The following is a 24,871-nucleotide window of genomic DNA, read 5'->3' on the forward strand; positions in this document are numbered from 1 at the left end:
TTCTTGCTGCTGTGGGTGTGAGTAAAATGTCTATCTGTATGCCTCTGGTCCTGCAGGCTTTGTTCTCTTTCTCCTTGTTTGGTCTCCTTCTACAGGGGTTACCTTACATACTGCAATCAAAAGACATCTTCTGCTCGGAATCAAAACAGATAGTGAGAGGTTCAAGTGAGAAGTAATGTTACATAGTAAGTTACTGAATTTACAATGAGAAATTGAACTCTGGGGTTACAACTCAAATATGATTTCAAGGTAAAGAAAATAATTACTTGGCTGGCTGGTGAAATGCTTAGTTCCTTCTAAAATCATAATTGCAATATGGACTTCTGCTTCATGCTGCATTCCAAGGCACCAATCAGGTAACCTACATCTCCCAAATGATCAACAGAGCGTTCCTTCCTATTTTACCCTCAGTGCTGAGAAATTACTCCTGAGCCCAGAAGTTGTTGTGTAGGTGACTTGGGTGACTTGGTGCCCAGGCAACAACTGCCACAGGCCCCACCTTGATGAACACCATTGATTTCTTTAAATATGATGATACTAAGATGGAGGCCCCTGCTCAGAGGAAGCAAGGACGTAAAAGCCAGGACAGGCTGCGCTGAGGGTCACTACACTAACAGACCCAGACGACACGATGGAACGTGAATACTGAAGCCAACAATCTTCTGGAACTCTCTTTTCCAAAACTCATATGCTGTTTTTTCTAATTGGGAAATCAGGGACAGGGAAACATTCGCATAATTACCCACCAACATGTTCTTCTTAACAGAAATGAAGATTATTATTATTTTTTTTTTGAGACAGACTGTTGCTTTGTCGCCCAGGCTCGAGTTCAGTGGCGCAATCTCAGCTCACTGCAAGCTCCGCCTCCCGGGTTCACGCCATTCTCCTGCCTCAGCCTCCCGAGTAGCTGGGACTACAGGCGCCTGCCACCACGCCCGGCTAATTTTTTGTATTTTTAGTAGAGACGGGGTTTCACCGTGTTAGCCAGGATGGTCTCGATCTCCTGACCTCGTGATCCGCCCTCCTCAGCCTCCCAAAGTGCTGGGATTACAGACATGAGCCATCGTGCCCGGCTCCACTTTGGTTTTTTCTAATCGGTTCAGGATCTCATTTACTTTCTTCTCCATTGTCACAATTTTTACATCCTTCTGCCTGTGAAAGCCTATCTGCCTCACATCCACGTCAGCTGTTTTCTTCAGGTTAGACCGTGGAGTATTTACCACATTAACGTTGTTCTTGCAGCCTTGAGTGCTATTGGCCTTCACAAGGTGGGCGCAGTCTGTCAGCACTTCCTTTGGAATGTCCTCTATATTCTCTCCCTTATGCAATTGAAGGTATACATGAGCCAAAGAGAGTCTGTCCGCACGAAACCAGATATATTCAGGCCAGCCATGCTTCATCAGATCTTCATGATGATTTATGGGTTAGTAGGAGAGATATAAAACTCAAGGGCCGGGCGCGGTGGCTCATGCCTGTAATCCCAGCACTTTGGGAGGCTGAGGTGGGCGGATCACGAGGTCAGGAGATTGAGACCATTCTGGCCAAAATGGTGAAACCCTGTCTCTATTTCATATTTATCCTTTCCCATGTAAATAGCGCAGGCAGATGAATTAACGCTGCTGCTGGTGAAGTAGAACACCATGATGCTGGCGGGGGTGCGGTGACTCCACCGTGGAGCAGCAGCGTTCAACTGTGGCGGTTGCCTGGTCCCCGGAACTCTCCTCTTTTTTTTTTTTTTAATGCATTATGGAAACTTTTTTATGTGATTTTTGTACATAAGGAATATGAGAGTAACTCTTTTACAAATGAAACTAATTTACTAGAACAAACAGTGACAAAACTGAACTGATATTTGATGTGAATCCATAGGAGTTTAAGCTTCAAATCCAGCCAAGAAATTTGTTACAACTCCATCAGCTTTGCATCTGAGTCTTCTGAGATCTTTCCATCAGCCCTGATAGTGCCCAACAGGGCTTAGCGCTGGCTGACAACATGAGACAAGAAAGCATTCTCAAACTTTGTAATCTTGCTGGGCTCCAGTTTATCAAGATACCCCCTTACACCCGCACAGATAACAGCCACTTGTTGTTCAGTAACCATGGGAGGATACTGTCCTTGCTTCAGCAACTCAGTTAGACGCACACCGCGACTCAATAGTTGTTGAGTGGGAGCATTGAGGTCAGAACCAAACTGGGCAAAAGCAGCAACCTCACGATCCTGAGCCAATTCCAGCTTCATGGTACCTGCCGCCTGCTTCATAGTCCTGGTTTGGGCAGCAGATCCAACACAAGACACAGACAGACCCAATGTTAATGGCAGAGCGGATATCTTTGTAGAACAATTCTGTTTCCAAGATCTGTCTGTCAGTGATGGAAATGACATTTGTTGGAATGTAAGCAGACACATCATCGGCCTGTGTTTCTATGACTAGCAAAGCAGTCAAGGAGCCACCACCAAAAGCATCATTCATTTTGGCTGCTCTCTCCAGCAACCGGGAGTATAGGTAAAACACATCACCAGGACAGGCCTTACGACCAGGGGGGTCGGTGGAGCAACAGAGACATCTGACAGTAAGCGACAGCCTGTTTGGATAAGTCGTCATAGATGATCAAAGTATATTTGCCATCGTCTCTAAAATACTCTCCCATGGAACAGTCAGAGTAAGGAGCCAGGTACTGAAGTAGGGCAGCATCTGAGGCCATAGCTGACACCACAGTGGTGTACTTCACGGCATCTGCATCTGTAAGTCTCTTCACCAACTGAGCAACAGTGGATCTCTTTCGACCAATAGCAACATAGATACAGTACAGCTTCTTCTTTTCTTCAGATCTATCATTGAAATGTTTCTGGTTAATGATTGTGTCAATAGCAATTGAGGTTTTCCCAGTCCTTCGGTCACCAATAATGAGCTCATGCTGACCACGACCAATTGGCACCAAGCTATCCACAGCCTTAATGCCAGTCGGCATTGGTTCCCACACTGAAGTTCGAGGAATGATTCTGGGGGCTTTCAGACCGACTCACTTATGGGTCTTGGAACCCATTGGACCCTTTCCATCAATAGCATTACCAAGGGCATCAACTACACGACCCAACAGCTCCTCACCGACTGGAACGTCCACAATGGTTCCTGTCCTCTTCACTATACCTCCTTCCTTACTTTATTATTTTCAAACACTACAATGCCAACATTGTCAGTTTCGAAGTTCAAGGACATATCCTTTAAGCCTGAAGAAAACTCTACCATTTCTTCTGCTTGGAACATTCCTCAGCCCATGTACATGGACAATACCATCACCAATACTTAAGACATGCCCAGTTTCTTCAAGGTCAGCAGAGGTATCAGCTCCAAGAACATGCTCTTTAAGAATAGAGGACATCTCAGCAGTCCCAGTCTTCTGAAGATGAGTGTTAGAGGCATGGAGGTTCCTTGCAGCAATGAAAGATGAACCCAAAGCATTTCTGGAGACCAGTCCTGCCCACCGAGTGAGGTCACGGGCTACGGCCGCGGAGACACACACAGACAGCATCTTTGCAGTTTCTCCACAGGTGGTACCTCCACAGCCGCAGCCTCTGGACTGACTGGGACCGTTTCAAGCATTTTTAAATGAAACCTGATGTTGATGAAATCTCTGAAAGTCAAGTCAGGTATCTTACACAATGCTGTAATTTCATTTCAATCCTTTTCATAAAGGGTAAAGTCCTTGTATATATTCTTTCAATACATGCTTTATCTAAGACACAAGCACTCTATCAATAAAAGTTTTAATTTAAACGACCAAAAAATTGGTGAGAGAGTGCTCAGAACTGAGGATAAACATGTAAGTAGTTTTTTGTCCCAGATGAGCAATGATTTATGTTGACTAAGGTGTGCTGAATTAACTTATTCCATTAAAGTGTAAAGGGAAGACAGGTTGATAAGCATAACTTTTACCTTGATAAATGTTTTCAATGATTTCTATTGCATGTAGACTGAAACACCTAGCATGTAAATTATTGCAGTAGAATCTGTCTCTAAGTCTCAGCTGGGTCTGTGAATTTGTTCTAATTTGATAGCTTCATACAACTGATGAAGCTCAAAAATGGCTTGACTCAAGATATTTCATACACCTTTCTTTTGCTCTAATTTCTGCTACGACAATAACCCAGCTATTTCAGCTGATGGCGGGAACACTGCAACTGGACAAAAATGACACGGATGGGTGTAGAGCCTCCAAACAATAAGTATCTGATTAATGCTGTTGACACCTAAGTCTACAGAGGCTATTCTCCAACGGCCAGGACATCATTAGGTAAGACATTTCAAAATTCTTCGTGAGGGCACGATTGCTTCAGAGGACTACAAAGTGACACATTAGGTCGTCATAAATCACCGCAGTACCATCCTGGCTAACACGGTGAAACCCCGTCTCTAAAATACAAAACAATGAGCCGGGCATGGTTGCGGGCGCCTGTAGTCCCAGCTACTCGGGAGGCTGACGCAGGAGAATGGCGTGAACCCGGGAGGCGGAGCTTGTAGTGAGCCGAGATCGCGCCACTGCACTGCAGCCTGGGCAACAGAGCAAGACTCTGTCAAAAAAAAAAAAAAAAAAAAAAAAAAATCACCGCAGTAAACCACACTCCAACGGGCCTGCACACTCAGGGTCTTGATTAGAAACAGTATTTAAAAAAATACCTCCACATCTGTTGCACCACAATGCCAAGGTATAACCAGGGCCACTTTCTCCAGGAGGCACAACAGGCGCAGGGCCAGGGAAGGGCCTCTGACACTTTTAGGATCTCAAGAAATTTTTTTTTTTTGGTTATTTTTCTTTGTTTGTTTTTGAGACAGAGTCTTGCTTTGTCGCCCAGGCTGGAGTGCAGTGGTGCTATCTCGGCTCACTGCAACCTCCACCTTCTGGGTTCAAGCGATTCTCCTGCCTCAGCCTCCCGAGTACCTGGGATTACAGGCGCCTGCCACTACGCCCGGCTAATTTTTGTATTTTATTTTATTTTTTAGTAGACACGGGGTTTTGGGTGTTGACCAGGTCTCGAACTCCTGACCTCAAGTGATCTGCCTGCCTCAGCCTCCCAAAGTGCTGGGACTACAGGCGTGAGCCACCATGCCCGGCCTCAAGAAAATGTTTTAATTTCCTTAAAAAACCTTAAGAAAAATCAACTTTTAAGTTGAAAAAGTTTATATATTAACATATTCATCTTTATATCAACACAGCAGTAAAATTTATTTTTTAAAGTGATAAAAACTGTACAAATATTTCTGGTGTGAAACACAGTGTTTTGATGCTCGCGGACTCTTGGATTCGAGGCTGCGGTAGTACGGACAAACACCGTGCAGCGGCATCTCATCTCCGCCAACAGCCGGCGATCAAGCGGGCAGGCTGGGAGAGGGCGGGCGGAAGAGGCGTGGCCGCCGCTACTGCGCACGTGCACCCAACCAGAACCTGGGGGTGGTGCCGGGCCTTCCCCGCTGCGCGGAGGCGTCCTCTCAACCCTTCTGCCCGGCGACTGGTGGGTTGGCGGCTAAGGGGCGGAGACAAGAGGGGCCGCCACCATCTCCTCCAATGGAAGGGAGACAGGGGCGGGCTTAATGACGGAAGGAGCATGGCGTGGAGACACCTGAAAGTGAGTCCCGCGAGTGAGCAGTGTGGATGGGGGACCAGGGACCGGGGAGGGCGAGAACGGAGAGTCAGGCCGGGCGAGGCATGGACCGAAGGCGGCTCCGGGAGTGTGGGCCCCCCTGGGACGTGTGCGTGTTTCCGGGGTCTCCTGCAAATGCTCGTGCGTGTGCATTTGCACGTGGACTCGGTCAGGCGTGTGCAGACAGCGCCTGCAGGTCTGGGTGGGTGCTGATCTGAGTGTCTGCGCCTGGGCCATGTTTTTGAGCCTGGCACAGGGGTGCTTAGTGAACACATGACCGCCTAGCGTTGTGTGCCGGATCCAACGGGGAATGAAACTAGAGTAGGACATGCTCCCAACCCTTTTAGGTAAAGTTTTGTTAGGGGCGGGGGTCTCTGTGAAAAGTTCTTAGCTGTATCCCCGTATGTAATAGGTGTTCAGAGGCCGGGCGCGGTGGCTCACGCCTGTAATCCCAGCACTTTGGGAGGCCGAGGCGGGTGGATCATGAGGTCAGGAGATCGAGACCATCCTGGCTAACAAGGTGAAACCCCGTCTCTACTAAAAATACAAAAAATTAGCCGGGCGCGGTGGCGGGCGCCTGTAGTCCCAGCTACTCGGGAGGCTGAGGCAGGAGAATGGCGTGAACCCGGGAAGCGGAGCTTGCAGTGAGCCGAGATTGCGCCACTGCAGTCCGCAGTCCGGCCTGGGCGACAGAGCGAGACTCCGTCTCAAAAAAAAAAAAAAAAAAAAAAAAAATAGGTGTTCAGATATTTGTTGATTGACATGGTGGGGGGGAGTACAGTCTCCAAGGGAGGCAATGAATAACCTTGACTTTCTTTTTATATGTTTATTTGAGACGGAGTCTTGGGCTGTCGCCCAGGCTGGAGTGCAGTGGCGCGATCTTGGCTCACTGCAACCTCCGCCTCCCGGGTTCAACCGATTTTCCTGCCTCGGCCTCCTGCGTAGCTGAGATTACAGGCGCGCGCCACCACGACTGGCTAATTTTGGTATTTTTAGTAGAGACTGCAGTTTCACCATGTTGGTCAGGCTGGTCTCGAACTCCTCACCTCGTGAGCCTCCCAAAGTGCTGGGATTACTGGCGTGAGCCACCGCGCTCGGCCTGAGTCTCTTTTTAAAATAAATAAATGGAGAGAGATGGGATCTCACTGTGTTGCCCAGGCTGGTCTAGAACTATTGGCCTCAAGGGATCTTCCCGCCTCAGCCTCCCAAAGTGGTGGGATTACAGGCGTGGGCTACCGCGCCCAGCCAATGAATACTTGATCTACATGTCTTTAGCAGTTTGGAAGGATCCTTAAAAGCAAATCTAATCATGTCATTTCCTGGCTTAGGGAACAAAACCCAAATCTTTATTTTGGCCAAGACTCCTGCTCCTTTCTCCTGCCTCGTCTTAAGCCTTACTTTCCCTCACTCCTCTGTTCCAAACTTTCTCCCTTTTTCATTCTCTTCTGCTACTGAGAGAGCCTTTACACTTTTTCCTCTCCGTACTGCCTTCTGGTTAACTATTTTTTTAAATAATTGAACCAGAATAGGTTCAGAGAGACCCCCATCAACTCGTTTATCCCTTGAGTATCAGCTTTAAGTCATTTCCTTAAGGAAGCCTTTCCTTACCTCTAAGATTAGGTTGAATACTTCCATTACCTTATACTTTTTATCCTTCATCACAGTTGCTATGACTACATATTTGCATGATCATTAATTTCTGTCTGTCGCTTCATAAGATCACACTCTCCATGAGGGTAGGGGCAAGATCTGTTTTGTCATCTTTGCTCAATCAGTATTTGATGAATGACTGAACTAATGAATGAATAACTCAGCATGTGGCAGTGATAGAGAAAAGCATTGTGAACCACTTTTGATCCAATAAGATCTGAAGCTTCTGTTTTATATTTTACACCCCCGTTACCTTGAAATGGAATATATGTATAATGTCTTTGTATGTATACATTTTTGAGAGAGTCTGACTCTGTCGCCCAGGTGGAGTGCAGTGGTGTCATCCCGGCTCACTGCAGCCTGGACCTCCTGGGCTCAAGGGATCCACCCACTTCTGCCTCCCAAGTAGCTGAGACCGCAGGCGCACCACCATGCCTGGCTAATTTTTTATATTTTGTAGAGACGGGGTCTCACTATGTTCCCCAGGCTGGTCTCAAGCGCCTGAGCTCAAGCAGTCCTCCCACTTCAGCCTCCCAAAGTGCCGGGATTACAAGCATGAGCCACCAAGTCCAGCTATGTGCAATTTTTAAAAGCCAGCATAATTAATACCCTAACTGGAATATAAAGGAGAAAATGTAAAAGTAGTTTATATTAATAATAAAATTACATGTATTTCAGTATGTAAATATTGCTATGACTCCCCTAGTGAGATAGTTGTGTTTAAGTCTCTACTTAGAAATGCAGGTACACAGGTGTGTTACATATCAGGCACCCCAGGAAAGCACTGTACCATTCCCGATGAGATTTTCTGAAATGGTGAACAATTCTTGGGAATGTTCTATGTGAAACTGTACAGTTGTCCCTCAATTTACAAGATATTTGTACTGTATGTGAAAACCATGTAGAGGCTGGGCACGGTGGCTCATGCCTGTAATCCCAGCACTTTGGGAGGCCAAAGCAGGAGTACTGCTTGAGCCTAAGGGTTCAAGACCAGCCTGGGCAACATAAAGAGGCTCTATCTCTTCAAAAAATTGGCTGGGCTTGGTGGCATGTGCCTGTGGTCCCAGTTACTTGGGGAGGCTGAGGAGGGGAGGATTGCTTGAGACCAGGAGGTCAGGAAAGACAGTTTGTGTTTATGTGGTAAAATATAGTTTGGCTTAGATAATATGAACGGATAATTTTTACCCACACAAATGTCAGAATGTTCAAAAGTCACACAGGAAATGGGGCAGTTCATGTCAGATAGTCTCAAGCCAAGAAGGATGTCTGACTTTATGGATTCCTGCCCACCACATCTATTAGCATTACCCTGTCACTGTAACCAGTAGCAGTGTCCACCACGATCACCCTAGGGGACAGTACTGTCCCTCTTTAAATTTCTGGCCTGGAGTCCCAGGACAGCCTTTAGGGCCTGAAGAAGGTGTGTAGGCAGAAGTATAGATACAGCCTCTGACTGTAGAGACCAGTGTCAGCGGAAGGCTAAGGGCGTCTGTTTCATGTGACCTGCCGTTATGCCCTCTGTGTACCTGGGTGTGAAGGGCTCAGGAAGGGTGCTGCAGCCTGGCCTGGGGGACCCCCCTAATATGCTCTTTTTTGCAGAAGCGGGCCCAGGATGCTGTGATCATCCTGGGGGGAGGAGGACTTCTCTTCGCCTCCTACCTGATGGCCACGGGAGATGAGCGTTTCTATGCTGAACACCTGATGCCGACTCTGCAGGGGCTGCTGGACCCGGAGTCAGCCCACAGACTGGCTGTTCGCTTCACCTCCCTGGGGCTCCTTCCACGGGCCAGATTTCAAGACTCTGACATGCTGGTAGTGCTCCCAGACACCCTATACATTAAATACAAAGGCGAAGGCTGCAGTCCCCTAAACTTCTCAGCTGGGACTGATCTTTTTGAAAACCAGAACCCCAAGTGAGCAGTGGGGATTTGGAATTCAGTCTGAGCATTATTATTTTATGTCATGTAATTAGCAACGATGATTATCTATTACGTATATGGGATTGTGTTAGGCGGTGTTCTTGTTTGATCCTCCCAGCTGCTCCATGAGCTGGATCCTGTTACCATCCCCAGCCATGGATCAGGAAACTGAGGAACAGATTAGCAACATAAAGGAACTCAAGTCACACAGCTAGGAGGTAGCAGGACCAGGATTCAAACCCACAGAGTCTGACGCTGGCTTCCCGCCCCTTGGCCACTGTCCTGCCTTGCTGAGGTCGTGGGTAGCTCAGTCTTCCCCTCAGCTAAATGGGGAAGCTGCCAGAGTCATTAAGCACTGGTGAGAGGCAGGAGCATCGTGTCCCAGCCTCACTCAGCCACGTGTTCAGCACACGGGCCCTCTCCATATGCTTGAAATCTTTGGCCTAGAGTCCCAGGAAAGCCTCTAGGGCAGGAAGAGGGTGTGTAGGCAGAAGTGTAGATACAGCCTCTGACTGCAGAGGCCAGTGTCAGCGGAAGGCTAAGGGCCTCTGTTTCATGTGACCTTCCGGGCTTAGTGCAGCAAACCGAATAAAAGAGTCCCCATCCTCATGGAAGCTGCTTCCTCATGGAAGCCTTGGCAGTTTCCTTTCGAGAGGCTTCTTACCAAATGGGAGGACATCAGAATGATGAGTGTGAAAATGCAAACAAGAAGCCCTCAGAACTCTGGTGGGAAGGGTCACTGTTATAAATTAAAGGGGCCTTCACCGCATTTTCTCTTCCTACCTTAGACTCCTCTTCACTATCTGATTATATGGTGTTGAGCAGACGTGTCATTTCCCCTGACTGGCCATGCTCACACACTAACAGGCACTGTAGGCTCAGAAAGAGCACTCCGTTAAGGTGTCCTCACCTCAGACTGCTAGTTTGAGAGCCCTGGAACCAGTGTAAAATGGGAGTGAATAATGAGTGGGGTGCAGAGATGGGGTGAATTTAGAAGGAAGTGCGGGGTGCCTGAGGGTGCAAGCTGTGTCTGTATAAACACAGATGACAGAGACAGGCAAACCTGACCTCTGAGGTGTTGTCCTCAACACCTCTGCGTGGGCCCACACTTGCAGCAGCTCATTTAGAATGTGACTCAGACTTTTTAACCGGTAACCAGGATTCTTGATTTCACAACTTTCCTGGTTTGGCTCTCCACCCTTCACCTATGTCAGGCATGTTAGAATCCCCCGGGGGTGCACTTGGAATATTCAGATGCCCTGGCCTGGTGCCAGACCAGTTTCACCGCCACATCTGAGAGCAGGACCTGAAAGCTGCCAGGGGCCTTTGTGGTGCAGCTGGAGCTGAGAACCACGGTCCTGGAGGAAGGCCCCTACACATCTTGCCTACCAGTCTCCTGAGGTGCTGTGAGCATTCTCACCTTCATTTGTTGCTCTTCCTTCTTGGAGCATCTCTCTTAATCCCCTGCTTCCAGGATCCGACCGTGTTCACCCCGGGAGGCCTTTGCTAGTCTCCTGAAAGGTCGCTGGAGCCCATCAGTCAGTTCTGCCCAGCTGAACATCTTCCTTCCTCTGGTTCCCCGTGGGAGGCTGGGGGACGTGGCTGGGGCTTCTTGCCAGCCCGGATGAGGAGGGACACAGCTGGAGCTGATGTTTATTAAGCTGATTAAAGGGTTTTGCTGCTTGACACGCCTTGGTTTCAGGGAAGCACTATCTAGGGCCTGACACCAGCGAGCTACTCCCTCCCACCAAGGCTAGTTGATAAGAAGGTATGAACCTTAACCACAATTGGAAAAGACAGTGCTCGTCTCCGCTTCAACCCACGGTGGAAACACCATTTCTCCCCCCAGGCTTGCTAATAATAAAGCCCCGTGGTTTTCAAACTCTAGCTGGTGTCACAGTCCCCTGGAGAGCCAGCACTGTTAAAAATAGTTCCCCCAGTGCTCCATTCCACCCCCAAAGATTTTGACCTTGGGGGTGGGCCCTGGGATCTGAGGTTTCACAAGCTTCCCAGGTCATTCTGATGTAGCTGTGCCAGGAACCATGCTTTGAGAAATACCGGGATAGCCTTAGCGTGCCTCTGACTTTGTCTTCCTCTTCCCAGGAAGTGAGAGTTCTGGGCCATAAATTCCGAAATCCAGTAGGAATTGCTGCAGGATTTGACAAGCATGGGGAAGCCGTGGACGGACTTTATAAGATGGGCTTTGGTTTTGTTGAGATAGGAAGTGTGACTCCAAAACCTCAGGAAGGAAACCCTAGACCCAGAGTCTTCCGCCTCCCTGAGGACCAAGCTGTCATTAACAGGTAGGTGAGCGGCCCAGAGTTAACGGGGGATGCCCTCTTTCCAGCTGGGGGCGTTCAGAGATATAAGATCTGCCTCTGTTTTTTTTCTCTCATACAATGTGGACATTCTTCTGTCATTTGGAATGTTCAGGAACCCTGTTCAGCATCTACTATGTGCCCCAGGCATCTATCTTGAAAAGCATGCTTTGTTACGTCCATTTAACAGTTGGGTAGATGGAGGCTCATAGAGCTAAATAACTCCGCTTCGGTCACGGAGATAATAAGCAGGAGAGCTTGGGCATGGCCTGGGCTTATTGGACTTGAGAGTTTGTGCTCTGTCCATGTTGTTTCTCCAATGCTCTTACTCGACACTGTCCAGGAGAAATGTAATGTGAGCCCCATATGTAATTTAAAGTACTCTAGTGACCACATTAACACAGTAAACAGAAATGAGTGAAGTTAATACTTACTTAAAATTATAATTTATATTTAATGTTACAAGTATTTAAAAAAACGTATATTTAAAACACCATAAAAAGTATTAATTCGCTGTTTTTACCTTCTTTTGCCTGTACCAAGTCTTCAAGAGCCAGTGTGCATTTTACTTCCAGCACCTCTCCCTTTGGACCAGCTGCATTCCCAGCAGCCAGTAGCCACATGCGGCCAGCAGGCTTGTATTGGCTAGCACAGCCCCAGCCTTTAGCAAACAGGGAAATGTAATATTCAACATGCACAGCTGCTCTTAGTAAGAGAAATCCTTCTAGACTGTATAAAGCCCTTCCCTTTGTCATCCCTGGGCAATTTTTACTACAGCAAACCCAAAAGGTGAAGAAGTGCTTACTTTTTGGTAAGAGGATTTTGAAGAGCCTCCTTGGGGAGATTTCGATGGGCATCTTTGGGGCCACTGGTGGCCTCCTGGGAGACGGACCTGTAGGACATTTACTTGGCCGTGCTTCCTGCTTTCTTGTGCTTGTTTCAGGGAAATTCTCCAGCATTAGAGATCAAGTTATTGATCTTTCTGCTGCATTGCAGGTGGGGATCAATATCTTCAGAATTGGCCAGGCAAAATATATTTGCTTAACATTCAGCTGCTACAGATAACTGCAGGTGCTGGGATGATGGTACTTGGTGAATCCTATAGGTGAGCAGGGGTGTGAGATCCTGCTCTGAGCCCTGTGTGTGCGGCCTCCTGGTTGTGTGGCATGTGGTAAGTGTGTAGTAAACACTTAATGAATGGGTGAAGTTATGAAGTCATCAGATATGTGTGCCAGTGTGTCTGTTATTATGGATGCTTTTGGCTCTAACAAAGTGGCTTAAACAACAGGCACATTTGATATTATTTTCTTCTCATAACAGGTGCAATGGGCAGGTCCAGGGTTGGTTGAGCACCAGGGCAGTGTTGAGACTCTGGTCCAACTTCTCTGGGCGTTTTCTTTTTGCTTGTCAGAGAGCGACCTCGGCTGCAAGTATTATGTTCTTACACGGACGCCCAAGAGCAGAAAGGAAAAAGGGCAGGGATGTTCTCAGAGGCTCCCAGTAGGTCTCACTTGTGTCTCAGTGTCTACACTTGGCATACACTTACGCTTCCCTTGCCAGCAAGGCTGGGAAAGGAGTCATTAGCATTTTTACCCTGTATCAGGGCAGGTGGGTTTCACTGGCAAAGAGGAAGAGGAAGGGGACTGGCCACTAGGTCAAAACCCACAGTGGGGCTGGGGATACAGGGATGAAAGAGAGATGAGGCTCCTGCCTTCAGGGAGTGTCTAGTGACAGTGACAGAGGGATGAGAGAAGTATGAGATGTTGCTCACCCTCAAGAAGATTGTAACCTAGGGACCTTAAGCATATATGTATGTATCTATCCCAAGCCAGGAGAAAGGTGGGGCCAAAGCTCTGTATGAAGGCCAGGGGGATGAGGGATCCTTTGCAGCTGCGAGCTCTGTGCAGGAGGAGAGGGAGCGTTTGCTCTGAGCTAGGAAGAGAGGTGATTTTCAGACAGAAAGCCTAGAGAGATGGAGTGGCTGCAGGGGCTTCAGGAGGCTGTTTGGGAGCCCAGGCAGAAGGTGGCAAGTGAGTGTGCAATTCTCAGAGAGTGGCTGGGTAAGGAGTGGGGATCCAGCAGGTCTGGGGCAGCTGCTGCTGAGTCTGGGCTGTTTCCAGTGCTAGCTGGCTGAGCATTTGCAAATTTTAATCTTTCCCTGGGTATTGGATGGTGTTCTGGCAAGTTCTCTAGGAGTCCCAGTGGTGTTTAGACCCTGGAAGTGTAAGAACTGACTGTGATTTTTTTTTTTCTCTTGTTTGAAAAAGTCCTAAGTGTATGGGAAGTGGCTATGGTGCCGTCTCACTCTGCCCCTCCCGTGTGCTTGTGCTCTGCAGGTATGGATTTAACAGTCACGGGCTTTCAGTGGTGGAACACAGGTTACGGGCCAGACAGCAGAAGCAGGCCAAGCTCACAGAAGGTAAAGTGGGGTTGTGTCAGTGGGCCTTTCTTATTTATTAGGAGGAAACGTGGGAGAAATGCTGGGAACATTTCTAGTGAAATAAACATGATTGAGCAATAGCAAAAACCACTGAGGACCTCAGGACACCTCTCCTAGAGCGATTTTCCTGGTCCCACACAGCTTCCAAGAGTTTAACTGGATTTTGCAATTTAGCAAATACTCACTTTGCCTCTGCCTTGTTATGTAACCTGTTACCGTAACTAGGGAGGCCTGAAAGCAAGCGAAGCAAAGCGGCTGGGCAATGATCACACAGGCAATGAGGGCAGGAGCAGGACTTGAATGTCATCCTCCCGTGGCCCACTCTGTCCTCCCTTTTTTGTCATCCATTGTGTAAATAATGTTCATTAATTATAGAAGACTTAGTAAATACAGAGAAGCGTAAAGAAAGAATGTTCAAGAAACAGATACTCCTCCCTACTCAAGGCTAACTAATATTAGCATTTGGGAAAATATTCTTCATGAGTTGTTTTGGAAACTCATTTTTGGTTCGGGACAGTTCACACCTGTAATCTCAATACTTTGGGTGCCCAAGTTGGGAGGATCACTTGAACTCAGGAGTTTAAGACCAGCCTGGGCAACATGGTGAGATCCCATTTCTCTAAAAAAACCAAAAACAACATGCTTTTTTTTTTTTTTTTTTGAGACGGAGTCTCGCTCTGTCGCCCCAGGCTAGAGTGCAGTGGCGGGATCTCGGCTCACTGCAAGCTCTGCTTCCCGCGTTCTCACTATTCTCCTGCCTCAGCCTCCCGAGTAGCTGGGACTTCAGGCACCCGCCGCCACACCCAGCTAATTTCTTTTTGTATTTTTAGTAGAGACGGGGTTTCACTGTGTTAGCCAGGATGGTCTCGATTTCCTGACCTGGTGATCCGCCTGCCTCGGCCTCCCAAAGTGCTGGGATTACAGGCGTGAGCCACCGCGCCTGGCCACAACATGCATTTTTGAAGACGCCTCCGGCGATGCGGGTGTTCTCTGTGGCCTCTGCCTCACTTGCTCTCAGGATGCACTTAGTGGTCGCAGCCCTCTGTTGTCCTGACCCTAATGCCCCTGGGACCCTCTGGGATTGTGTGGGGTTGTGGCTCAGTAGCGACCATTTTCTTCTTTGGGTCCCTCTGAAACTCCTTCCAGGATGTCTTAGTCTCAGATAGTCCTGGTAGCAGGATGAAGAAACCAATGGATATGGGATTCATTTCAGGAAGTGAGGTGGAAAGGGCTGAGGCACTCAGCAGTGTCAGATTTGGGGAATAGGAAATTATCTTTTGGAAACCCCTGGGTTGGGTGGAACCAGACCCCGCTGTACTGCAGAGCCGCCCACCTGGGGAGCTTTGGAGGTCATCACAGGACTTGCATGGTTTGTGATGCTTGCCCGCCTTCGTGCTTGCTTTTTCTTCTCCTCGGTGTCTGCAGTGCAGTGTCCTGGCTTTATCTCCTGTTCTTCCTCACCCAGCCCTCCCTCCCTGTGGCCCTCCTGGTCTACGGAGTGAAGCGGAGCCTGCAGCAGTGCTCTGCACGGATGTGTCTGCCAGCAGCTTAGGGGCCTTCATGGCAGCTTGTTGTTAGCACCATGCCAAGGAACACGCGTTGACAAAAGCTTTGGTGCCCTCTGGGGACAGAGTAATCCAGCAATTTCTGTCTAACTCCCAAATCTTGTCAGTTTGGGCAGATGACTCCTAATCCGTTAGCTACATGAAAGTGATATTCTCCTTCAAGTCAGTTTACTTGTGAGGAAAAGAATTCAAGCTTACAGATGATCTTGGCTTGATGGGTGCTAGACTGGGAAGCTTGGAGACCTTATGATAAACCTTTTGTCTAATTGGATTCTTTGTTTCTTTTGAGACAGAGTCTCCCGCTATTGCCCAGGCAACAGTGGTGCAATCTCAGCTCACAGTAGCCTCCACCTCCCAGGTTCAAGCGATTCTCCTTTCTCAGCCTCCCAAGTAGCTGAGATTATAGGCGCCCACCACCATGCCTGACTAATTTTTATATTTTTAGTAGAGACAGGGTTTCACCGTGTTGGCCAGGCTGGTCTTGAACTCCTGACCTCAATTGATCCACCCACCTCAGCCTCCCAAAGTGCTGGGATTACAGGCGTGAGCTGCTGCGCCCGGCTTCTAATTGGGTTCTGATCCCCTCCTCCAGTCCCCACCCTGGAAAGTAGCTACACTCATCTCATTTGCTGATGATGCGAGAGTGTGATTGGGGTTGGGAAGGTGGTGAGCAGTACAATAGATGTTGTTTGATCCTCTCTGGCCTGACAACACATTTTGTGAGCTACTTGGTGTTCTAATTCTTCCCCCAACTCTCAGATCAAAAGTACAGCCTGTACCATTGATGTACCACTCCCCGTGCAGATAAGATAGTAAACTTAGAAGAAGTCAAGTAGAGACAACCCGTTTCTTTTACACATAGTGTGTTTCTGAAAATGTATTTTTTCTGGAGGTCCAAAATGCAAGTCCATTGATAGTCCTGTGGATTTTTAAGTAAGCTGACCTAATTGCTTACATGTAAACTGAGACCCTCTTGAGAGTAAAAAGGGGCAGGTGTTAACAATGATGCCCAGGCTAGGGGAGTAATCAGGTTGTCCAGGGAGCACCTAAGATACAGGGTACCCTCAGTTATTATATGAGGGAGAGTCCCTTTCCTCAGAGAACTAAAATTATAAGTTAGAAAACAATTACACCTCTACATTTTAGGCATGATAATTGAAAACATTTGGCCGGGCATGGTGGCTCACGCCTGTAATCCTAACACTCTGGAAGGCCAAGGCAAGCGGATCATTTGAGGTCAGGGGTTTGAGACCAGCCTGGCCAACATGGTGAAACCCCTTCTCTACTAAAAATACAAAAATTAGGCCGGTTGCAGTGGCTCACGCCTGTAATCCCAGCACTTTGGGAGGCTGAGGTGGGCAGATCATGAGGTCTGGAGATGGAGACCATCCTGGCCAACATGGTGAAACCCCATCTCTACTAAAAATACAAAAATTAGCTGGGCGTGGTGGCACATGCGTGTAATCCCAGCTACTCAGGAGGCTGAGACAGGAGAATTGCTTGAATTCAGGGGACGGAGGTTGCAGTGAGCCAAGATTGTGCCACCACATTCCAGCCTGGGCAACAGTGAGACTCCATCTCAAAAAAAAAAACAAAAAACATTTTCCAGTATATATATATGTGTATATGTATATGTGTATATATATATATATATATATATATGTGTATATATATATATATTTTTTTTTTTTTTCTTTTTTTTGAGACAGAGTCTTGCTCTGCTCCTTAGGCTGGAGTGCAGTGGCGCGATCACGGTTCATTGGAGCCTCAATCCTACTTCAGCCTCCCGAGCAGCTAGGACTACAGGTGTGCACCACTGCTCCCGGCTGAGTTTTCAATTATAGAGATAGGGTTTCACCATGTTGCCCAGACTGGTCTTGAATTCCTGGGCTCAAGCAATCCTCTGCCCTTGACCACCCAAAGTGCTGGGATTATAGGCGTGAGCCACCGCACCTGGCCTGTTTTTCAGTATTTTATACATGTTCTTTCATTTTGTTTTTTCTTCGCAACTGTACATCCAGTCAACCGAGCCAAGGCCAACAAGCATTCCTTGAGGTGAGAGTTGCGGGCCTGATGTGCCTACTGAGTTCTCTCTGTTCTCAGTTTTATTCAATTTATGAGGCCCATCTTTTGCCCCACAAGTATTTGCAGTAATTTGTCCATTTTCCATGAAAATTTTAAAAATAAAAAGGGCAAAATGCAGCAAAACATCCTCGTAGCTGCCCAGACTTTGCTAGACAAAGCCAGTGAGTGGTTTTGGTCAGCAGGCGGGCCCAGGCCGCAGTTGAGCACCTGTCAGCCGGTGTCGGGCAGGTCAGGTTTGGAGGGAAGGCCTGCGCGGCTGTCCACAGGTGGTTTGGTCAAGGGCAGCCTCAGAAGGTGGCACAGGAAAGGGTGTGCGGGGTGCAGGCCTGACCAGCGATGTTTGCAGATGGACTGCCTCTGGGGGTCAACTTGGGGAAGAACAAGACCTCAGTGGACGCCGCGGAGGACTACGCAGAAGGGGTGCGCGTACTGGGCCCCCTGGCCGACTACCTGGTGGTGAATGTGTCCAGCCCCAACACTGCCGGGCTGCGGAGCCTTCAGGGAAAGGCCGAGCTGCGCCGCCTGCTGACCAAGGTGGGCAGCTGCACCCCTCTCCAGGCCCTGTCCCACCAGCCTGTCCCACCTGCTCCCCTTCATTCTCCAGGGCGAACCTTCAGCATCACCCTCAGAAGCTGTCCTTAGCACCTAGACCAGTAGGACCCCTGGCTATACCTTCCCAGAGTCCCCTCTGATCCCCTCTCATGACACTGATTATATGCGACGGTGACAAATTATCTGTCCCTGCTGCTATAAATCACGGGGTCTGTAAGAGCAGACACCACGTCTCTCTCATTTGTCACTCTGACCCTAGCGCCCAGAGCTCTGAGTGAACTGAAGGACTTCATCACCCAGTACATGTGGTAATATTTCCTGGTTATCTTTTAGGAATAAAAGTCTAAAAAACGTTGGACACCGTGGCTCATGCCTGTAATACCAGCACTATGGGAGGCCAAGGCAGGTGGATCACTTATAACCCAGGAATTTGAGACCAGCCTGGGCAAAAGAGCAAGACCCTGTCTCTACAAAAATTTAAAAATTAGCCAGGCACAGTGGCTCAAGCCTATAGCCCCAGCTACTTGGAGGCCGAGGCAGGCAGATCACTTGAGCTCAGGAGCTGACCAGCCTGGGCAACTTGGCAAAACCCCATCTTACAAGAAATACAGAAATTAGCTGGGCATGGTGGTGCACACCTGTAGTCCCTGATACTCTGGAGGCTGAAGTGGAAGGATCGCCTGAGCCCAGGGAGGTGCAGGCTACAGTGAGCCGTGATCATGCTACTACACTCCAGTGTGGGTGACAGAGTGCGACCTTGTCTCAAAAAAAAAAAAAAAAAAAGAAAAGAAAAGTCTAAAACACCCTTGAGCTATTAGCCAATGTCCACGGGATCCCTTGGCCTAAAAGAATGGAATCGGATCCATCTCGACTGTACTCCTCACGTCTGAGGGCTGGCTTTCCTGAAAAGAAATTGTTTCTGCTTTAGTTTGATCGCTATTGTGGAAACCCACTGACCTGCAGCGTAGGTCACAGCTGCACTGCAGGGCTGTGGTCTGCGGGGTCCCCAGCTCTGGCCGTGTGTCGCCCTAGGTGCTGCAGGAGAGGGATGGCTTGCGGAGAGTGCACAGGCCGGCAGTCCTGGTGAAGATCGCTCCTGACCTCACCAGCCAGGATAAGGAGGACATTGCCAGTGTGGTCAAAGAGGTTTGAGTCGGGGCCTGGGCCCAGGGTGTGCCTCCCATGGTCTGCAGAGGCCGTTTGGCCAGCTGGGCTAGCCCAGAATGGCGTTCTTTGTGATTTCCTCTCCTTGGTATTCAAGGCTGGTTTGGTGTGTGTCATGGTGTAACTCACCCTGTGGTCAAAAGCGAATGTTGGAATAAGTGCTTGAAGGAGTTTTTCTAATGCCTCTTCCTCTCTTTTGTCAACTGCATCCAGCAAGTTTAAGGCTTGAGCTTGGCTCCTTGGCCAGTCTTGACTGGGACTGAAAATTCTTTCTCTCACTCCTCTCTCCAGCCTGTCTGGACAGCGGGTCTCTGTGGCATAGGAGAGTAGTGGAAACAGACTGAGCCCGGCCATCGTGGGTTCAAATCCTGGTTCCACCACTTACTACCTGGGGGCCTCAGACAAGACACTGTAATTGGGTTGTTGTAAGGACTGGACCCTGTCCTAGGGGAATGTTGTGGGTGGTCAGCGTGTGATGGCTGCTGTCGTCATGTTATGGCTCATTCTAAAACTTGTTGAGGAAAAGATGAGTAGTGAGGTCTGGTGTAGCTCTTGCTTTGGGGGCTGTAGGTGTGGGTACCTGGCCCGGCTGCTGCCTTCGACCTCCAGAGAAGCGCCTCTGGGTCCTTCGGTGCTATGACTCATGGCTTTTTCTCTATCTCGCACTGCAGTTGGGCATCGATGGGCTGATTGTTACGAACACCACCGTGAGTCGCCCTGCGGGCCTCCAGGGTGCCCTGCGCTCTGAAACAGGAGGGCTGAGTGGGAAGCCCCTCCGGGATTTATCAACTCAAACCATTCGGGAGATGTATGCACTCACCCAAGGCAAGGTTTCCCGTGTTTGTGTCTTCAGATCTGCGTGTGGCTTGGGCTCCTGGGTCGTGATGGGAATCATCATTCCCTAATCTGTCTTGATTGTGGGGGACTCTGGGGCTGAAGCCACATCCTTCTTTATGGTGTCGCCATGTGCTTCTCTGTAGGCCGAGTTCCCATAATTGGGGTTGGTGGTGTGAGCAGCGGGCAGGACGCGCTGGAGAAGATCCGGGCAGGGGCCTCCCTGGTGCAGCTGTACACGGCCCTCACCTTCTGGGGGCCACCCGTTGTGGGCAAAGTCAAGCGGGAACTGGAGGCCCTTCTGAAGTGAGTGAGGTCATGTGTGGCTTGAAACAGAAGTTAGGCAGAGGTTCATTTAGATCACTCAAGTCAACGAGATACTGTTGATCTGTTTCTTATTCATTCAAAAAGGAGTTGAGGGGTACACTCTGAAGGGGAGAGAAATTCTGGGTTACTCTTTTGATGAAGGACAAACAATGCCAAGGAGAACTGAGGATTAACCTCCAAGGCAATGGTGTTTCTAAGGTGGAGTTGTCCATTTGCTCAAGGGAGGGGAGCCTGAGGAATCCCATCAGCATTCCCATTAATTAAGCAACACTGGTTCAATGTTGGGAGCTGTCAATACTTAAAAGCAATTTCCTTCCTGCTCTGTTCCTACCTGGGTAGAAATATCCCTAGGTCTCTGGGTGAAGAGTGTAGAGGAAACCAGATGTGCCTGGGCCGGGATGATGCGTTTCTGGGTGAACGTGGGCTTCCTGTAAGAGCAGGGCCTGTTCTCCACTGTTTGCTGAAATTGCTTTGTTTGCTCTTTTTCCAGAGAGCAGGGCTTTGGCGGAGTCACAGATGCCATTGGAGCAGATCATCGGAGGTGAGGACAGCGTCTGACGGGAAGCCTGATCTGGAACCTTCCCAAGGACTCAGGCAAGCCTTTGTGGCTGGATCATGAGAGGAGGGACTCCATCTTGAGCCATGTCCCCCAGCCATGGCATGGCTGCACTGTAAACGCCAATCGGGGGGTCACCAGGATCAACCGCAGGCTTTCTTCAGTCCCTTGGTCAGACCATAAACTGCATTTTTGATTCTTTGTGGATTCAAACCCTAGGATCCATCAGTCTTGCAAGGACATTGAATATTAGGAGGAAAAAGTCATGGAAAAAATAAAGCCATTTAGAACCTGGGTTTCAACGCTAGCCCTTTCTGGTTTGCCATAGGCCCTGCCAAGATACTGCAGGTCCATCCAGGCCTCTGCTATCTGCATCTGCAGTGGGCTTCCCAGGAACTTGACTGTCTTTCATTTGATCTTTATTTTTGTTTATTTAATATTTTAAACTTTATTTTAAAAATATTTCAAACATAAGGGCGGGGTGTGGTGGCTCATGCCTGTAATCCCAGCACTTTGGGAGGCCGAGGCGGGCGGATCACCTGAGGCCAGGAGTTGGAGACCAGCCAGGCCACCATGGTGAAACCCTGTCTCTACCAAAAATACAAAAAATTAGCCAGATATTGTGGCAGGCACTTTTAATCCCAGCTACTCGGGAGGCTGAGGCAGGAGAATTGCTTGAACCTGGGAGGCGGAGGTTGCAGTGAGCCAAGATTGCACCAGTGCACTCCAGCTTGGGCGACAGATCAAGACTCTGTCACACACAAAACAAACAAACAAATTTTCCCGTTTCTCTCTGTCCCTTTCTCTATAACATGGATAAAATATTCACGTCTTATGTATTTATTATTGCTGAGTCATTGGTGCCTTATTCTTCAGTGTTTCAGTCTGTATCTCCTAAGCATCCTGATGTTAGTTTTTTGACTATAAAATTGACCTGCATTCTTTACTAGCAATTCAAACGGTACAGCACTCTTGAAGTGTAAACATTCCTGTTCCTCCTCACCCCACTCTGCAGACATGCCTTTCTGTCTGTCCTCCCAGACTTTTCCCCTGCATAAAGATGTTCATTTTGTACATACACTCAGACATACATGTGGCTGTATTTTTTGTATACCGATTTCTGGATGGAATGCACACTGTTATCTGTTTAGTTACTTTATGTTTTCATACAAATGACATCATCCCACAAATAGAATTCTGCCATTTACTTTCTTCACTATTCTTATGTGGCATGGTTCATGCTGGGCCTCGGTCTTTTGAGTGGGGTCTGTTTACCCAGTCCCCTGTTGGTGATCACATCGCTAACTTCCGGCGTTTTCCTATCACCATCGGTGCCTCCGTGAACACCTTGTGAATGTGCCTGTGCCTTCGTTCTGGTGTCGGTGCAGAGCAGGGTCCAAGGGGCGTGACAGCTGGGCTGAGGGGCTGGCATGTTTCACATTCTGATAGATAGAGCCAAGTTGCTCCTATCAGGTTTTCAAGCTGCCCATTTCCCACCGTGGAGACAGCAACAGAGGGGACATCCCCAGCTCCTCTGGCTCTGCCTGTTCAAAGCTACCCTGTGAGGCCTGAAGACAGAGCTGCCCTGAAGGCAGCTCATGTCCACTGAACACTGACTGTGGGCTGGATGCTGTGCCAAGGGCTTGACGTTTCCTCTTTAAGGATGAGGAAACGGGCAGAGAAGCGGCTGATTGTCCAGTCCCCCTGCGTGGAGGCTGCTTGGCTGGGCTCGAGCCCAGCGGTGTGGTCATAGAGCATGTTGTGCTGAATGGCTCTGCCATGGACCAAGCCTTGGCTGCTCTAAAAGCCGGCTCATTGCCTTCTGCTTCTCCGGATTCGTTCCTTACTCCAGGAAGAGCAGTGCACTGAAGGAGAAATGGGAATGGGCAAAAGGAACCACATGCTGGCCAGACCCCTGCGGGGTCACTTTCCTCAGCCTGGGCTCCGACATGCCACGTCAGGTGCCAGCGCACATACTCTGGACACCCTCCTCATTCTCTCTGGGCTTTGATGCTCTCTGTGAGTCATCTGCCCTCCCTTTCCCATGCTACAGGCATCTACCTTGCTCTGTCCCACCTAATAGCTTCAGGACTGAACAATTCAGGAAAGGGAAGGGAAGGGGTGGAGGAGAAGAGGGAAGAGTCGGCCCTTGGAAGGTTCTCCACGGAAGACTGCCTTTTTTTTTTTTGAGATGGAGTCTCGCTGTGTCGCCCAGCCTGGAGTGCAGTGGCATGATCTCAGCTCACTGCAAACTCCGCCTCCTGGGTTCAGGGGATTCTTCAGCCTCAGCCTCCAGAGTAGCTGGGACTACAGGTGCATGCCACTGTGCCCTGCTAATTTTTGTATTTTTAGTAGAGACGGGGTTTCACCATATTGGCCAGGCTGGTCTCGAACTCCTGACCTCTTGGTCCACCCGCCTCAGCCTCCCAAAGTGCTGGGATTACAGGTGCAAGCCACCGCGCCTGGCTCGAGAGACTGACATTCTGTCTCAGCACAGCTGGAAGAGGCTGCTTGAGCACCAGGATAAGGAGTTGTCTTGCATTCAGGGGCCATGTGGTGTGCGGATACCTATTTTTCTTTCTTTTCTTTTTTTTTTCTGAGACAGAGTCTCGCTCTGTCTCCCAGGCTAGAGTGCAGTGGCATGATCTCAGCTCACTGCAACCTCTGTCTCCCGGGTTCAAGCAATTCTTCTGCCTCAGCCTCCCAAGTAGCTGGGATTACAGGTGCCCACTACCACACCCAGCTAATTTGTGTGTGTGTGTGTGTGTGTGTGTGTGTGTGTGTGTGTGTGTGTGTGTGTTTTTGAGATGGAGTCCTGCTCTGTCACCCCGGCTGGAGTGCAGTGGTGCGATCTCAGCTCACTGCAAGCTCCGCCTCCCGGGTTCACACTATTCTCCTGCCTCAGCCTCCCGAGTAGCTGGGACTACAGGCGCCTGCCACCATGCCTGGCTAGTTTTTTTGTATTTTAAGTAGAGACAGGGTTTCACCGTGTTAGCCAGGATGGTTCGATCTCCTGACCTCATGATCTGGCCGCCTCAGTCTCCCAAAGTGCTGAGATTACAGGCGTGAGCCAGCGTGCCTGGCTAATTTTTGTATTTTTAGTAGAGACGGGGTTTCACCATGTTGGCCAGGCTGGTCTCGAACCCCTGACCTCAAGCAATCCACCCACCTTGGCCTCCCAAAGAGCTGAGATTACAGGTGTGAGCCACCGCACCCGGCCCAAGGATACCTATTTTTCTTAATGCTGGAAGCCACACTCAGACACCAGAGCAGCTCTCAATGCTGGGAATCCTGGGAGACTGATGATGACCGCGTCTCCCTCTGGGACCAAGGATGGTGGAAGGGTGTGCAGAATTCCAAATGTTATTTACATCACTCACTCTTGTGTGGAGTGCATAATTGTCTTTGCTTGCCAATTTCATATCAGTTAAATATAAGCAGTAAGCTAATCCTATTCTGTGACTTACTTTTCTCACGTGTCATCATAATGATATACGTCAATATTCATCCCTCAGATCGGCCTTGCTCTAACAGCCCTTTTCACGGCATAAATGCATCAATGTTTGCTTATGGGAAACACAAAGGATATTTTCAGGTTTTCACATCAGACAGTGCTTCAGTGCTCAGGGCTTATGTATCTTTGTGGTCTTCTGGTAGAATTTCTGTAGATTCCCAGAAGTGGTATTGCTTGGGCAAAGGTTATACACACTGAACATGTTGATACTTACTGCCAAATTGCCATGCGAGAGGGCTGTCCAACTTTGTAAGGGAAGGCCTCTTTCCTCTTATGTTGTTCCACATGGGAATTTCAATTTCACTGGTCT

General features: G+C 48.9%; 1 protein-coding gene and 1 pseudogene across 3 annotated transcripts, besides 4 other annotated features; one reads left to right on the forward strand and one right to left on the reverse strand.

Moving 5' to 3' along the window:
• On the reverse strand, positions 1,740-3,581 carry ATP5F1AP3 (ATP synthase F1 subunit alpha pseudogene 3; annotated as a pseudogene).
• Positions 5,333-5,432: a silencer, noted in NCBI's record as "silent region_7688". NCBI's record gives its function as "represses an Ori minimal core promoter by ATAC-STARR-seq in GM12878 lymphoblastoid cells {active_cell/tissue: GM12878}" and the evidence as "EXISTENCE:reporter gene assay evidence [ECO:0000049][PMID:35858748]".
• Positions 5,333-5,575: a biological region, named in NCBI's record as "ReSE screen-validated silencer GRCh37_chr16:72042438-72042637".
• Positions 5,376-5,575: a silencer, noted in NCBI's record as "fragment chr16:72042438-72042637 (GRCh37/hg19 assembly coordinates)". NCBI's record gives its function as "represses an EF-1alpha promoter that drives an FKBP-Casp9 reporter gene in an ReSE screen in K562 erythroleukemia cells {active_cell/tissue: K562}" and the evidence as "EXISTENCE:reporter gene assay evidence [ECO:0000049][PMID:32094911]".
• Positions 5,581-24,496, forward strand: DHODH (dihydroorotate dehydrogenase (quinone)). Of its 3 annotated transcripts, none has more exons than XM_047433674.1 (9): positions 5,581-5,746; positions 8,887-9,099; positions 11,310-11,509; positions 13,861-13,943; positions 17,961-18,148; positions 19,199-19,312; positions 20,002-20,155; positions 20,311-20,470; positions 20,982-24,496. In XM_047433674.1, the coding sequence occupies exons 2-9, from the start codon at positions 8,950-8,952 to the stop codon at positions 21,034-21,036; spliced, it is 1,104 nt and encodes a 367-aa protein (XP_047289630.1). In that variant the 5' UTR covers positions 5,581-5,746; positions 8,887-8,949; the 3' UTR covers positions 21,037-24,496. The 3 variants fall into 3 exon arrangements, with proteins under 3 accessions (XP_047289630.1, NP_001352.2, XP_005255886.1); NM_001361.5 differs by having other exon boundaries at positions 5,581-5,622; XM_005255829.5 differs by lacking the exons at positions 5,581-5,746; positions 8,887-9,099; positions 11,310-11,509 and adding an exon at positions 12,568-12,695.
• Positions 20,245-21,444: an enhancer, noted in NCBI's record as "MED14-independent group 3 enhancer chr16:72057307-72058506 (GRCh37/hg19 assembly coordinates)". NCBI's record gives its function as "activates an origin of replication core promoter dependent on BRD2, BRD4, P300/CBP and CDK7 cofactors, and independent of MED14, by STARR-seq in HCT116 cells {active_cell/tissue: HCT116}" and the evidence as "EXISTENCE:reporter gene assay evidence [ECO:0000049][PMID:35650434]".
• Positions 24,497-24,871: the final 375 nt, after the last annotated feature.

This window comes from Homo sapiens, chromosome 16, assembly GCF_000001405.40.
Source record: "Homo sapiens chromosome 16, GRCh38.p14 Primary Assembly".
In the NCBI taxonomy this organism is placed as follows: Eukaryota; Metazoa; Chordata; class Mammalia; order Primates; family Hominidae; genus Homo; species Homo sapiens.

Coding starts and splice junctions, on each gene's coding strand:
- DHODH (NM_001361.5), top strand. CDS start 5,602: ATGGCGTGGAGACACCTGAAA. Junction 19,313..20,001: donor TTGCCAGTGTGGTCAAAGAG/GTTTGAGTCGGG, acceptor CTCGCACTGCAG/TTGGGCATCGATGGGCTGAT. Junction 20,471..20,981: donor GAACTGGAGGCCCTTCTGAA/GTGAGTGAGGTC, acceptor CTCTTTTTCCAG/AGAGCAGGGCTTTGGCGGAG.